This window comes from Homo sapiens, chromosome 4 (genome assembly GCF_000001405.40).
Source record: "Homo sapiens chromosome 4, GRCh38.p14 Primary Assembly".
Lineage (NCBI taxonomy): Eukaryota > Metazoa > Chordata > Mammalia > Primates > Hominidae > Homo > Homo sapiens.
In genome coordinates this window covers 5,166,715-5,181,319 of record NC_000004.12, presented here as the reverse complement: position 1 = coordinate 5,181,319, position 14,605 = coordinate 5,166,715, and the positions used below count along the sequence as shown (strand labels likewise).

The following is a 14,605-nucleotide window of genomic DNA, read 5'->3' as shown; positions in this document are numbered from 1 at the left end:
ATCTTTCTCTTCTTTTTATAAGACCACAGTCCTATCAGATTAATGCCTCACTGTTATGACTTCATTCAGCTGTAATTACCTCTTACAGATCCTGTCTCCAGATACAGTGACATTGGGGGCTAGGGTTTCAACATATGAATTTGAGGCAGGGGGACACAATTTGGTCCATAGCAGCATCATAGCCAGCTAGAGGCAGAGCTAGGATGAGAACCTGGGAGGTCAGACCTCAAAGTGTTGAAACACTCATGCTGCTTTTCTCTCCCCTCACCTTTCCTCCTCTCCCACACCCATCCCACCAGGGCTCCCACTCATGGGACACCCTCACTCTCTGGGGTGCAGCTTTTCTTTCCCTCTCTCCTTTGCCTTCGTTGTCTTAAACCCAAGAGAGTAAAACAGCTTTGCAATACAACAAGTGAAAATATTGCACTTGACAACTCCACTTGGGTCATCACAGGCTTAGGAGCACAAATCATTCGTTCTTTAGAGGCAAAAATTGCTATGAAAATTAATCAATGCAGGCCTTTGCCTCTACCAGTTGTAGAGCACGTCAGCAAAAAAGAATAACGAGAAGGTGTACAGTCAGGGTTTCCAAGGCTGCAATAATTCACCCTCCATGTAATGCGATGAAAAGCTGATGTATCATTAATATAAAGCGGTGGTGTCCTTATGACCCCAACAGGCAATTCCACACTGTGTCCTCTTCTGGTTGGGGAGAGAGAGGCCACCAAAGAGAAGCACAGCTGGAAGAGATCCATCAGGGAAGAGATAGGGTGTGGTACCAAGCAGGGAGGGGCCAGGGCCCCATCACAGCAGCTGTGATAGAGAGGTGACCAGAGTGGACCATGAAGCCAGACAGCCTGGCTTCATGTCCCATCTCCTCCACTTACTAGTGACATGACTCAGTTGTCCCACCTGTAAAATGGGACCAAAAATGGTAGGATAAGGGTAGGAAATGAAAATAGCTGTTGGGAGAATTAAAGAAGTTCAGTAAGACACATATCAAGTGCCCAGGAGATGTTAGTGGCCAGCCACCTGTAAGAACTGGAAGCATTAGGACATGGTGAGTCTGTCTGAGTCTGAATTGCAAATCACATGGTTCAGGCAAGATAGCAAACTGCTTGGGGCCCTGCTTTCTGTCTCTGAGAAATGAGCAGGGCTCATATGGAGTCTCCTGGACAAGGACATGGCATGTGGGCAGCAGGCACCAGTCCTGGGGCCACACAGACTCTACTTGTTTTCTTCTGGAAACAGCTCTGAATTTCCCTCTGGAGAGCCCCTTCCCTCATTGCCTGTCCATGAGACTCAATGGGACAAACCTCCTGCACTGTCCTCCACTGTGTCAGGAATGGGTGTGTGACCAGAGCCAGGTCTGTCACTGCCCACAAGCCTCAGCCTCTGCTGGGGCTGTTCAGCTGGCAGGAGAAATGGGACCCGCCAGGGCTCAATGTGACTCGTGGCTCTGAAAATAAAGCTAACACAGGGGAAAGCAAAAGAAGGCAGTGCAAGGCCAACATCAGCCCTCAGACTAAATGTTTTAGTTATAAAAGCCAATTCCCTTTTGTGCTTAAGCAAGTTTAGGTTTTTCTCCTTCATAACAAAATAACTCCTGACCCCTGTAGTGTGCAAAGTTCTGAGTACTGACCAATGATCTGGTGACCTTTCTCCTTTTAACTTGTAGCTTGAAGGGCCATCGTCTATCAATCTACCTATCAATCATCTATTTATCTATCATCTATTTATTAATCATCTATCATCTATATCTATCATCTGTTAATCTAGTCTATCATTTATGTATCATCTATCTAATATATCATCTATCATTTGTCTATCATCTATGTATTTATCATCTATGCATCATACATATAGGCATGTATATATGATAATAGGTGGATACTATATAAATAAGTGATAGATACACCTATTTATCTGATATAGCTGATATGGTTTGGCTGTGTCCCCACCCAAATCTCATCTTGAATTATAATCCCCATAATCCCCATGTGTCATGGGAGGAACCCAGTGGGATGTATTTGAATCATGGGGCAACTTCCCCTATGCTGTTCTCGTGATAGTGAGTGAGTGAGTTCTCACAAGACCTGATGGTTTTATAAGCATCTGGCATTTTCCCCACTGGCACTCACTCAATCCTGCTGCCCTGTGAAGAAGGTGGCTGCTTCTCCTTTGCCTTCTGCAATGATTGTAAGTTTCCTGAGGCTTCCCCAGCAATGCAGAACTGAGAGTAAGTTAAACCTCTTGTCTTTATAAATTATCCAGTCTCAGATATTTCTTCATAGCAGCGTGAGAACTGATGAATACAGTACATTGGTACCGAGGCAGTAAGGCACCGCTATAGGGACACCCAAAAATGTGGAAGCAACTTTGTAACTGGTCAACAGGCAGAGGTTGCAACAGATTGGAGGGCTCAGAAGAAGACAGGAAGATGTGGGAAAGTTGGAAACTCCTAGAGACTTGTTGGTTTTGCCCAAAATGCTGATAGTGATATGGGCAATTAAGTCCAGGCTGATGTAGTCTCAGATGGAGATGAGAGGCCTGTTGGGAACTGGATTAAAGGTCACTCTTGCTATGCTTTAGCAAAGAGACTGTCAGCATGTTGCCCTTGCCCTAGAGATCTGTGGAACTTTGAACTTGAGAGAGATGATTCAGGGTATCTGGCAGAAGAAATTTCTAAGCAGCAAAATGTTCAAGAGGATGCAGAGCATAAACGTTTGGAAAATGTGCAAACTGAAAACGTGACAGAAAAGAAAAACCCATTTTCGGGGAAGAAATTCAAGGCGGCTGTAGAAATTTGCATAAGTAATGAGGAGCCAAATGCTGATCACCAAGACAATGGGGAAAATGTCTCCAGGACATGTCAGAGACCTTCACAGCAGCCCCTCCCATCACAGGCCCAGAGGCCTATGGGGGAAAAATAGTTTCATGGGCCAGGCCCAGGGCCTTGTTTTTTGTGCAGTCTTGAAAGCTGGTGACCTGTGTCCCAGCTGTAGCTAAGAAAGGCCAAAGTTCAGGTCAGGCTGTTGTTTCAGAGGGTGCAAGCCCCAAGCCTTGGTGGCTTACATGTGGTGTTGGGCATATGGATGCATAGAAATCAAGAACTGAGGTTTGTGAACCTCTGCCTAGATTTCAGAGGATGTATAGAAACACTTGGATCTCCAAGCAGAAGTCTGCTGCAGGGGCAGAGCCCTTATGGAGAACCTCTGCTAGGGCAATGCAGAAGGGAAATGTGGGAGCAGAGCCCCCACACAGAGTCCCCACTGGGGCACTGCCTAGTGGAGCTGTAAGAAGACAGCCACTGTCCTCCAGACCCCAGAATGGCAGATACACTGACAAATTGGACCATGCACCTGGAAAAGTCACAGATACTCAGTGCCAGCCTGTGAAAACAGCTGGGAAGGAGGCTGTACCCTGCAAAGCCACAGAGGCAGAGCTGCCCAAGGCCTGGGGAGCCCAACTCTTGCATCATCATGACCTGGATGTGAGGCATGAAGTCAAAGGAGATCATTTTGGAACTTAAAGGTTTAATGACTGCCCTGTTGGATTTTGGACTTGTGTGGGGCATGTAGCCCCCCTGTTTTGGCCAATTTCTCCCATTTGGAATGGGTATATTTACCTAATACCTGTACCCTATTGTATCTAGGAAGTAATTAACTTGCTTTTGATTTTACAGGCTCATAGGTGGAAGGGACTTGCCTTGTCGCAGATGAGACTTTGGACTTGGACTTTTGAGTTAATGCCGGAATAAGTTAAGACTTTGGGGGACTGTTGGGAAGGCATGATTGTGCTTTGAAATGTGAGGACATGAGATCTGGGAGGGACCAGGGGCAGAATGATATGGTTTGGCTGTGTCCCCACTCAAGTCGCATCGTGAACTGTAATCCCTATAATGCCCACATGTCATGGGAGGGACCTAGTGGGAGGCAATTAAATCATGAGGGTGGTTTCCCCCATGCTGTTCTGGTGATACTGAGTTCTCATAAGATCTGATAGTTTTATAAGCATCTGACATTTTCCCCACTGGCACTCACTCCATCCTGCTGCCCTGTGAAGAAGGTGCCGGCTTCTCCTTTGCCTTCTGCCCTGATTATAAGTTTCCTGAGGCCTCCCCAGCCACGCAGAACTGTGAGTCAATTAAACTTCTTTCCTTTATAAATCACCCAGTCTTGGGCAGTTCTTTATAGCAGTATAAGAGTGAACTAATACACATACACACATATATAACCTCTTACGGTGAACAATATTTTTACTTACAGAAAATATACTTTCATGTCTTCTTTTCAGTTAATTCTCAAAACACTCCTAGCGGTAAACAAGGCATTATAATGTCATTATGACAAGTGAGGAAGTTGAGGCCCAGAGAGTCTGAGGGGTGACTCCAAAGTCAAGCAGTAGGCTCACCCCTTTCTTGCTTATGATAGAAATAAAATAAAAGCCACCAGAGGCTGACATTTGCAGATAATTTTCTTATATACCCAGCCCTGTCATGTAACCAAAGGGCATCTGTCACTAATCTGTTGGTGTCTTGAGGACCATGAACAGAGGATCAAGAAATGGTGCCTAAGGCTGGGCACAGTGACTCATGCTTGTAATCCCAGTACTTTGGGAGGCTGAGGTGGGCAGATCACCTGAGGTCAGGAGCTTGAGACCAGCCTGGCCAATGTGGTGAAATCCTGTCTTTACTAAGAACACAAAAATTAACTGCGTGTGGTGGCAGGCGCTTGTAATCCCAGCTACTTGGGAGTTTGAGGAAGGAGAATCACTTAAACCTTGGAGGTGGAGGTTGCAATGAGCCGAGATTGCACCATTGCACTCCAGCCTGGGTGACAAGAGTGAAACTCCATCTTAAAAAAAAAAAAAAAAAAAAAAGATGATGGCCGAATAGGAACAGCTCCAGTCTACAGCTCCCAATGTAAGCAACGCAGAAGACCGGTGATTTCTGCATTTCGAACTGAGGTACCGGGTTCATCTCACTGGGGAGTGCCGGACAGTGGGTGCAGAACAGTGGGTGCAGCACACCATGCGTGAACCAAAGCAGGGCGAGGCATCGCCTCACCTGGGAAGTGCAACGGGTCAGAGAATTCCCTTTCCCAGACAAAGAAAGGGGTAACAGCCGGCACCTGGAAAATCGGGTCACTCCCACCCTAATACTACGCTTTTCCAATGGGCGCAACAAACGGCACACCAGGAGATTATATCCCGCACATGGCTCAGAGGGTCCTACACCCACAAAGCCTCGCTCATTGCTAGCACAGCAGTCTGAGATCTAACTGCAAGGCCACAGCGAGGCTTGGGGAGGGGCGCCCACCATTGCCAAGGCTTGCGTAGGTAAACAAAGCAGCTGGGAAGCTCGAGTGGGTGGAGCCCACCACAGCTCAAGGAGGCCTGCCTGCCTCTGTAGGCTCCACCTCTGGGGGCAGGGCAAAGACAAACAAAAGGCAGCAGTAACCTCTGCAGACTTAAATGTCCCTGTCTGACAGCTTTGAACAGAGTAGTGGTTCTCCCAGCATGCAGCTGGAGATATGAGCACAGGCAGACGGCCTCCTCAAGTGGGTCCCTGATCCCCAAGTAGCCTAACTGGGAGGCACCCCCCAGTAGGGGCAGATTGACACCTCACACGGCCGGGTACTCCTCTGAGACAAAACTTCCAGAGGAACGATCAGGCAGCAGCATTTGCGGTTCACCAATACCTGCTGTTCTGCAGCCACTGCTGCTGATACCCAGGGAAACGGGGTCTGGAGTGGACCTCCATTAAACTCCAACAGACCTAAAGCTGAGGGTCCTGACTGTTAGAAGGAAAACTAAAAAACAGAAAGACATCCACACCAAAAACCCATCTGTACATCACCATCGTCAAAGACCAAAGGTAGATAAAACCAAAAAGATGAGGAAAAAACAGAGCAGAAAAACTGGAAACTCTAAAAATCAGAGTGCCTCTTCTCCTCCAAAGGAACGCAGCTCCTCACCAGCAATGGAACAAAGCTGGACAGAGAATAACTTTGACGAGTTGAGAGAAGAAGGCTTCAGAAGATCAAACTACTCCGAGCTGAAGGTGGAAGTTTGAAGCAACGGCAAAGAAGTTAAAAAACTTGAAAAAAAAAATTAGACGAATGGCTAACTAGAATAACCAATGCAGAGAAGTCCTTAAAGGACCTGATGGAGCTGAAAACCACGGCACGAGAACTACGTGACGAATGCACAAGCCTCAGTAACCGTTGCAATCAACGGGAAGAAAGGGTATCAGCGATGGAAGATGAAATGAATGAAATGAAGCGAGAAGGGAACTTTAGAGAAAAAAGAATAAAAGAAACTAACAAAGCCTACAAGAAATATGGGACTATGTGAAAAGACCAAATCTACATCTGATTGGTGTACCTGAAAGTGACAGGGAAAATGGAACCAAGTTGGAAAACACTCTGCAGGATATTATCCAGGAGAACTTCCCCAATCTAGCAAGGCAGGCCAACATTCAAATTCAGGAAACACAGAGAATGCCAAAAAGATACTCCTCGAGAAGAGCAACTCCAAGATACATAATTGTCAGATTCACCAAAGTTGAAATGAAGGAAAAAATGTTAAGGGCAGCCAGAGAGAAAGGTCGGGTTACCCACAAAGGGAAGCCCATCAACCTACCAGCTGATCTCTCGGCAGAAACTCTACAAGCCAGAAGAGAGTGGAGGCCAATATTCAACATTCTTAAATAAAAGAATTTTCAACCCAGAATTTCATATCCCGCCAAACTATGCTGCATAAGTGAAGGAGAAATAAAATAATTCACAGACAAACAAATGCTGAGAGATTTTGTCACCACCAGGCCTGCCCTAAAAGAGCTCCTGAAGGAAGCACTAAACATGGAAAAGAACAACCGGTATCAGCCACTGCAAAAACATGCCAAATTGTAAAGACCATCGAGGCTAGGAAGAAACTGCATCAACTAACGAGCAAAATAACCAGCTAACATCATAATGACAGGATCAAATTCACACATAACAATATTAACCTTAAATGTAAATGGGCTAAATGCTCCAATTAAAAAACACAAACTGGCAAACTGGATAAAGAGTCAAGACCCATCAGTGTCCTGTATTCAGGAAACCCATCTCACATGCAGAGACACACATAGGCTCAAAATAGAAAGATGGAGGAAGATCGACCAAGAAAATGGAAAACAAAAAAAGGCAGGGGTTGCAATCCTAGTCTCAGATAAAACAGACTTTAAACCAACAAAGATCAAAAGAGACAAAGAAGGCCATTACATAATGGTAAAGGGATCAATTCAACAAGAACTAACTACCCTAAATATATATGCACCCAATACAGGAGCACCCAGATTTATAAAGCAAGTCCTTAGTGACCTACAAAGAGACTTAGACTCCCACACCATAATAATAGGAGACTTTAACATCCCACTGTCAACATTAGACAGATCAATGAGACAAAAAGTTAACAAGGATATCCAGGAATTGAACTCAGCACTGCACCAAGGAGACCTAATAGACATCTACAGAACTCTCCACCCCAAATCAACAGAATATACATTCTTTTCAGCACCACACCACACCTATTCCAAAATTGACCACATAGTTGGAAGTAAAGCACTCCTCAGCAAATGTAAAAGAACAGAAACTATAACAAACTGTCTCTCAGACCACAGTGCAATCAAACTAGAACTCAGGATTAAGAAACTCACTCAAAACCGCTCAACTACATGGAAACTTAACAACCTGCTCCTGAATGACTACTGGGTACATAACGAAATGAAGGCAGAAATAAAGATGTTCTTTGAAACCAATGAGAACAAAGACACAACATACCAGAATCTCTGGGACACATTCAAAGCAGTGTGTAGAGGCAAATTTATAGCACTAAATGCCCACAAGAGAAAGCAGGAAAGATCCAAAATTGACACGCTAACATCACAATTAAAAGAACTAGAGAAGCAAGATCAAACACATTCAAAAGCTAGGAGAAGGCAAGAAATAACTAAGATCAGAGCAGAACTGAAGGAAATAGAGACACAAAAAAACCTTCAAAAAATCAATGAATCCAGGAGCTGGTTTTTTGAAAGATCAACAAAATTGATAGACTGCAAGACTAATAAAGAAGAAAAGAGAGAAGAATCCAATAGACACAATAAAAATGACAAAGGGGATATCACCACCGATCCCACAGAAATACAAACTACTATCAGAGAATACTATCAACACCTCTACGCAAATAAACTAGAAAATCTAGAAGAAATGGATAAATTCCTCGACACATACACTCTCCCAAGACTAAATCAAGAAGAATTTGAATCTCTGAATAGACCAATAACAGGATCTGAAATTGAGGCAATAATTAATAGCTTACCAACTAAAAAAATTCCAGGACCAGACGGATTCACAGCCGAATTCTACTAGAGGTACAAGGAGGAACTGGTACCATTCCTTCTGAAACTATTCCAATCAATAGAAAAAGACAGAATCCTCCCTAACTCATTTTATGAGGCCAGTATCATCCTGATACCAAAGCCTGGCAGAGACACAACCAAAAAAGAGAATTTTAGACCAATATCCTTGATGAACCTTGATGCAAAAATCCTCAATAAAATACTGGCAAACCGAATCCAGCAGCACATCAAAAAGCTTATCCACCATGATCAAGTGGGGTTCATCCCTGGGATGCAAGGCTAGTTCAACATATGAAAATCAATAAACGTAATCCAGCATATAAACAGAACCAAAGACAAAAACCACATGGTTATCTCAATAGATGCAGAAAAGGCCTTTGACAAAATTCAACAACCCTTCATGCTAAAAACTCTCAATAAATTAGGTATTGATGGGACATATCTCAAAATAATAAGAGCTATCTATGACAAACCCACAGCCAATATCATACTGAATGGACAAAAACTGGAAGCATTCCCTTTGAAAACTGGCACAAGACACGGATGCCCTCTCTCACCACTCCTATTCAACATAGTGTTGGAGGTTCTGGCCAGGGCAATCAGGCAGGAGAAGGAAATAAAGGGTATTCAATTAGGAAAAGAGGAAGTCAAATTGTCCCTGTTTGCAGACGACATGATTGTATATCTAGAAAACCCCATTGTCTCAGCCCAAAATCTCCTTAACCTAATAAGCAACTTCAGCAAAGTCTCAGGATACAAAATCAATGTACAAAAATCACAAGCATTCTTATACACCAACAACAGACAAACAGAGAGCCAAATCATGAGTTAACTCCCATTCTCAATTGCTTCAAAGAGAATAAAATACCTAGGAATCCAGCTTACAAGGGATGTGAAGGACCTCTTCAAGGAGAACTACAAACCACTGCTCAATGAAATAAAAGAGGATACAAACAAATGGAAGAACATTCCATGCTCATGGGTAGGAAGAATCAACATCGTGAAAATGGCCATACTGCCCAAGGTAATTTATAGATTCAATGCCATCCCCATCAAGCTACCAATGACTTTCTTCACAGAATTGGAAAAAACTACTTTAAAGTTCATATGGAACCAAAACAGAGCCCACATTGCCAAGTCAATCCTAAGCCAAAAGAACAAAGCTGGAGGCATCACGCTACCTGACTTCAAACCATACTACAAGGCTACAGTAACCAAGACAGAATGCAACTGGTACCAAAACAGAGATACAGACCAATGGAACAGAATAGAGCCCTCAGAAATAATGCCATGTATCTACAACTATCTGATCTCTGACAAACCTGAGAAAAACAAGCAATGGGGAAAGGATTCCCTACTTAATAAATGGTGCTGGGAAAACTGGCTAGCCATATGGAGAAAGCTGAAACTGGACACCTTCCTTGTACCTTATACAAAAATTAATGCAAGATGGATTAAAGACTTACATGTTAGACCTAAAACCATAAAAACCCTAGAAGAAAACCTAGGCAATACCATTCAGGACATAGGCATGGGCAAGGACTTCATGTCTAAAACACCAAAAGCAATGGCAACAAAAGCCAAAATTGACAAATGGGATCTCATTAAACTAAAGAGCTTCTGCACAGCAAAAGAAACCACCATCAGAGTGAACAGGCAACCTACAGAATGGGAGAAAATTTTCGCAACCTACTCATCTGACAAAGGGCTAATATCCAGAATCTACAATGAACTCAAACAAATTTACAAGAAAAAAACAAACAACCCCATCAAAAAGTGGGCAAAGGATATGAACAGACACTTCTCAAAAGAAGACATTTATGCAGCCAAAAAACACATGAAAAAATGCTCATCATCACTGGTCATCAGAGAAATACAAATCAAAACCACAATGAGATACCATCTCACACCAGTTAGAATGGAGATCATTAAAAAGTCAGGAAACAACAGGTGCTGGAGAGGATGTGGAGAAATAGGACTTTTACACTGTTGGTGGGACTGTAAACTAGTTCAACCATTGTGGAGGTCAATGTGGCGATTCCTCAGGGATCTAGAACTACAAATACCATTTGACCCAGCCATCCCATTACTGGGTATATACCCAAAGGATTATAAATCATGCTGCTATAAAGACACATGCACACGTATGTTTACTGCGGCACTATTCACAATAGCAAAGACTTGGAACCAACCCAAATGTCCAACAATGATAGACTGGATTAAGAAAATGTGGCACATATACACCATGGAATACTATGCAGCCATTAAAAATGATGAGTTCATGTCCTTTGTAGGGACATGGATGAAGCTGGAAACCATCATTCTCAGCAAACTATCACGAGGACAAGAAACCACACACTGCATGTTCTTACTCATAGGTGGGTATTGAACAATGAGAACACATGGACACAGGAAGGGGAACATCACACTCCAGAGACTGTTGTGGGGTGGGGGGACGGGGGAGCGATAGCATTAGGAGATATACCTAATGTTAAATGACGAGTTAATGGGTGCAGCACACCAACAAGTCACATGTATACATATGTAACAAACCTGCACGTTGTGCACATGTACCCTAAAACTTAAAGTATAATAATAAAAATAAAAATAAAAATAAAAAAAGGTGCCTAAGTAAAGGCTACTCCAACACATTCCTTTCCTTTAACATACATCATACAAGCTCCACTAGGCATCTGATCTTCTTAGTCCACCTTAAGGAGTCCCACCTGAAAAACTTCAGGTTCAGAGATAATCATCTCAGCAGTATTTACATTGGCAAAATAATTAGAAACAGCCCAAGTAACCCACATGACAGAATGAAGGTTCGATTAGATGGCTTATTGTGCTTTTCCTTAGTGGAATATTATGTAGCCATTAAAAATGATTTACAAAGAGTTTGCAGTAACAAGGAGGTAGCGCTCCCGCCAGATATTAATTCAGAAAATGGAATACAAAATTTCTCTGAATGTTTATATATCAATAACACATACAGTTATATGTCATTGATATGAAAAAAAATACAAGAAAAGGAGTATAAAAATAATTACACACCAAAATTTAATCTGAGTCTGAAGAGCTTCTGGGTAATTTTTGTTTTCTGACGTATTTTATTTTCTATATTTTGCCAAGAACACATATTGCTGTTCGGATTAAAGATTTACTTTAGAAAATTCCCTTGCATAGCAATCAAAACATGACGGGGTTTATTTCTCCCAAACAATCAAAGTTTTTAGATCACTGCACAGAGACACGAAGAACTCTCGGTGGATACTGAGACTCCAGCAGACAAGGTTTGGTTTGGGTTTTCTCCATGGCAATGCCCATGTCTGTGGCACCTGGCACGCACACCTTGATTTTCTCAGATGGGACAATCTGTGTTCCTCTTTGTTCTCCTATCATCCAATGTTCAAAGTGCTTCTAAGTGTGCAGGGCAACTGAAATCAGTGGTGGTCAAGTATGTGCAAAGCTAGACTTACCCCTCCAGGGTGGCCATCCCAACTCTTAAGGTCAGTGGGTCAACTGATCCGCTGAATGAAATGGTCAGAATTTGTTTCCTAAAGCGGCCTGTCCTCCCTCTCCCCTTCAACACAATCCAGCTTAGGAAACATTTGCTAAGTCCCTCCAATGTGTCAGATACTGTGTTAGACTACCCAGAAACAAGCAATTTCTGTGTGAGGACAGATAAGTAACCCAATAACCTGGGTTCACTGTGATAAAGATGGCATTAGGTCAAACACAGGAGAAGACTGAGGTCGCGAGGGGCACTCAGCTGGCCTGTGGGTCTTCAAGGGCTCTTGACCTAAGGGTTTCCTAAGCTGGGTGCCAGGAATGCACAGGTGTTGGTTAGGGGACACTGGAGAAGGGGACGTGAGTGTTTTAGGAAGATATTTCACACGCAAAAGCACAGAGGCAGGGAACCACCAACAGGATGTGTTTCTAGGATGCACATTTAAAGTGAAGATAATAGCCAAGGACGGGTTGGAGTGAAAGTTCTGAAACATGGGTGATGGCAGGTTTTGGGGGCAGGATAGAGAATTCCGAATTTGGTACGTCCGTGATGGGCAGCCATCTGTACTGAAGTAGAATACTGGTTTCCAGTTGCCCTTCCTGCCATCAGCTGTATGGCTGTGACTTTCTGAAACACTGAGCTCCCCACTCCCTTTAGTAGCCTATCTTCGGCATTCTCTTATAACGTTCCACGTATCTTCTCAAATACGCAAAACACTTCTCCATTTATTTTCAACTCTGATTCATCAGATAAGAGGACAGAATTAAAATGAAAATGAAACATATGCCTATAGACTTCATCAGAAAATGTACTCTACAAAATACTTAAGAATAACTGAACCCAGAAAATTGCATCCCTTTCCCTTTACAATGCGGAAGAGTCCCTCTAGCAGAGGCGAATTTGCATTTGGCTCCCCACAGGGGAACCCACAGGAGCCCTGGATGGAGCCACACTCACCACAGATTGACCAGGAAGGGGTGCTCCAGCCCTTGCATGATCTGCAGCTCCCGGAAAACATTCCGAACCTCATCCCTCTCGATGCACTTCTGCTTGTTCATGTACTTCATTGCATACATTTTCTTAGTGTCTCGCTTCTGCACGATGCATACCTGAGCGACAGCCAAAGGAGAGAACAGTCAGGCCAACAATCGAAAAGGGAGACAAAGGAGAAATGTCACCCCGCACTGCATTTTTACTTCTGGATTCACGTCCCTGTTCTTGAAATCTGCTAGGGGAGCAGCTCTGCTAAGTTAGGCACAACCTCTCTGCATCTGCAGAATGGAGGAGTTGGACCAGATTCATCCATTTATTAAACATTGACATGAGCACTGGCCATGTACTAAGTGTTGAAAGAGGAGATGCAAACACAGAAGATGGAAGAAGCAGGCCTGCCCTCAAGGGGCTCACAGCCCACGAGGAAAATAGATAAATGCAAAAAGCACCAGTGACTATAACCCTGAGATGTGTGGCGTGCACGAGTGTCGCAGACTCCGTCTGTGCCCACCTGAATCTCCTCACCTTTCCCACTTCTGCACCTACCTGCCTGACTTCCATCCACCAGTCCTGCATTTCTCTCCCTGAGGACTCTCTTTTGCCAGTAGGGCCCACTTTGCTGCCCATGTAGCAGACCAGCCAAGCCAGGGAATTAATGTCCTCAGAGCAACATTCGATCCACGACTGTTAGAAACGGGAGTATCAGTACCCCCACTCCCTTGCCCGTCACCTGGGATGAGGCTGATGCCAGTGTTTACACTGGCTCCCGGAGTTTGTAAGTTTGCCTAGCCCCACAGTGGGGTAACAAGCTTAACACAGCACACCCTTTCCTGGCTGTCTTCCTTCCTACCCTTCTCTGTGTTCTTTCTGCCTCTCCCATGCCCTGTCCTCAAATCTTTGCCTTGGAGCCTGATTCTGGGGAAACCCAAACTCAGGCACATGGGTTCTGGGGGAGCACAGGAGAAGCTGGGGACAGCTATGATGACAGTGGTCCTGTATTGAGCACTTTACTGCAGGTCAGACACTGAGCAAATCATCTCCTTGACCATCTCACTGAATCCCTATAAGAACCTTATGGATAAAGCATGAGGGAGCTGTAGCCCCAAGTGTACTAATTAACTTGTTCAGAGTTCAACAAACCACCAAGTGGCAGGGTGGGGGTTCAAATCCATGAGGCCTGGACTTCTGAGCGACTGCCTTACCTGGGGGCAGTTGGGGGCAAGGTGGGAGGATGGGAGCTGTCAGAGAAGGCTCTCCGCAGGATCAAAACCAGGGGGCAAGCTCTAAAGGATGGGAAGATGGTAAGGGTGAAGGAAGAGGCTTTGAGGGAAAGGGAATCCTGTAACGGAGGGCGTGGAGCCGAGGAGACACAGCAAGCACAGCAGGAAAAGTGAGCAGGGCTGACATGCACATGTGGCATGGACAGTTAGCAAGGATTGTATGAGCTAGTCTTCCCAACACCCCGAGGAGGGACTGTATTGGTTCCTTGGACAGTTAGCAAGGATTGTATGAGCTAGTCTTCCCAACACGCCGAGGAGGGACTGTATTGGTTCCTTGGACGGTTAGCAAGGATTGTATGGGCTAATCTTCCCAACACCTCGATAAGGGATTGTGTGGGTTCCTCAGGTTGCTGTAACAGTACCTCAAACTGGGGGATTTAAACAACAGAAATTTATTGGCTCATAGTTCTGAGGGCTGGG

General features: G+C 44.2%; 1 protein-coding gene across 7 annotated transcripts in view; it reads right to left on the bottom strand.

Annotated features, from left to right (window-relative positions):
* The window catches only part of STK32B (serine/threonine kinase 32B), a 481,604-nt gene that overhangs the window by 319,670 nt on the left and 147,329 nt on the right, over positions 1 to 14,605 (bottom strand). For all 7 annotated transcript variants that reach the window (XM_047415924.1, XM_047415925.1, NM_001306082.2 and 4 more), the window contains one exon: positions 12,870 to 13,021. In XM_047415924.1, the coding sequence (XP_047271880.1) occupies positions 12,870 to 13,021 (152 nt within the window). The remainder of the gene's footprint in view (positions 1 to 12,869; positions 13,022 to 14,605) is intronic.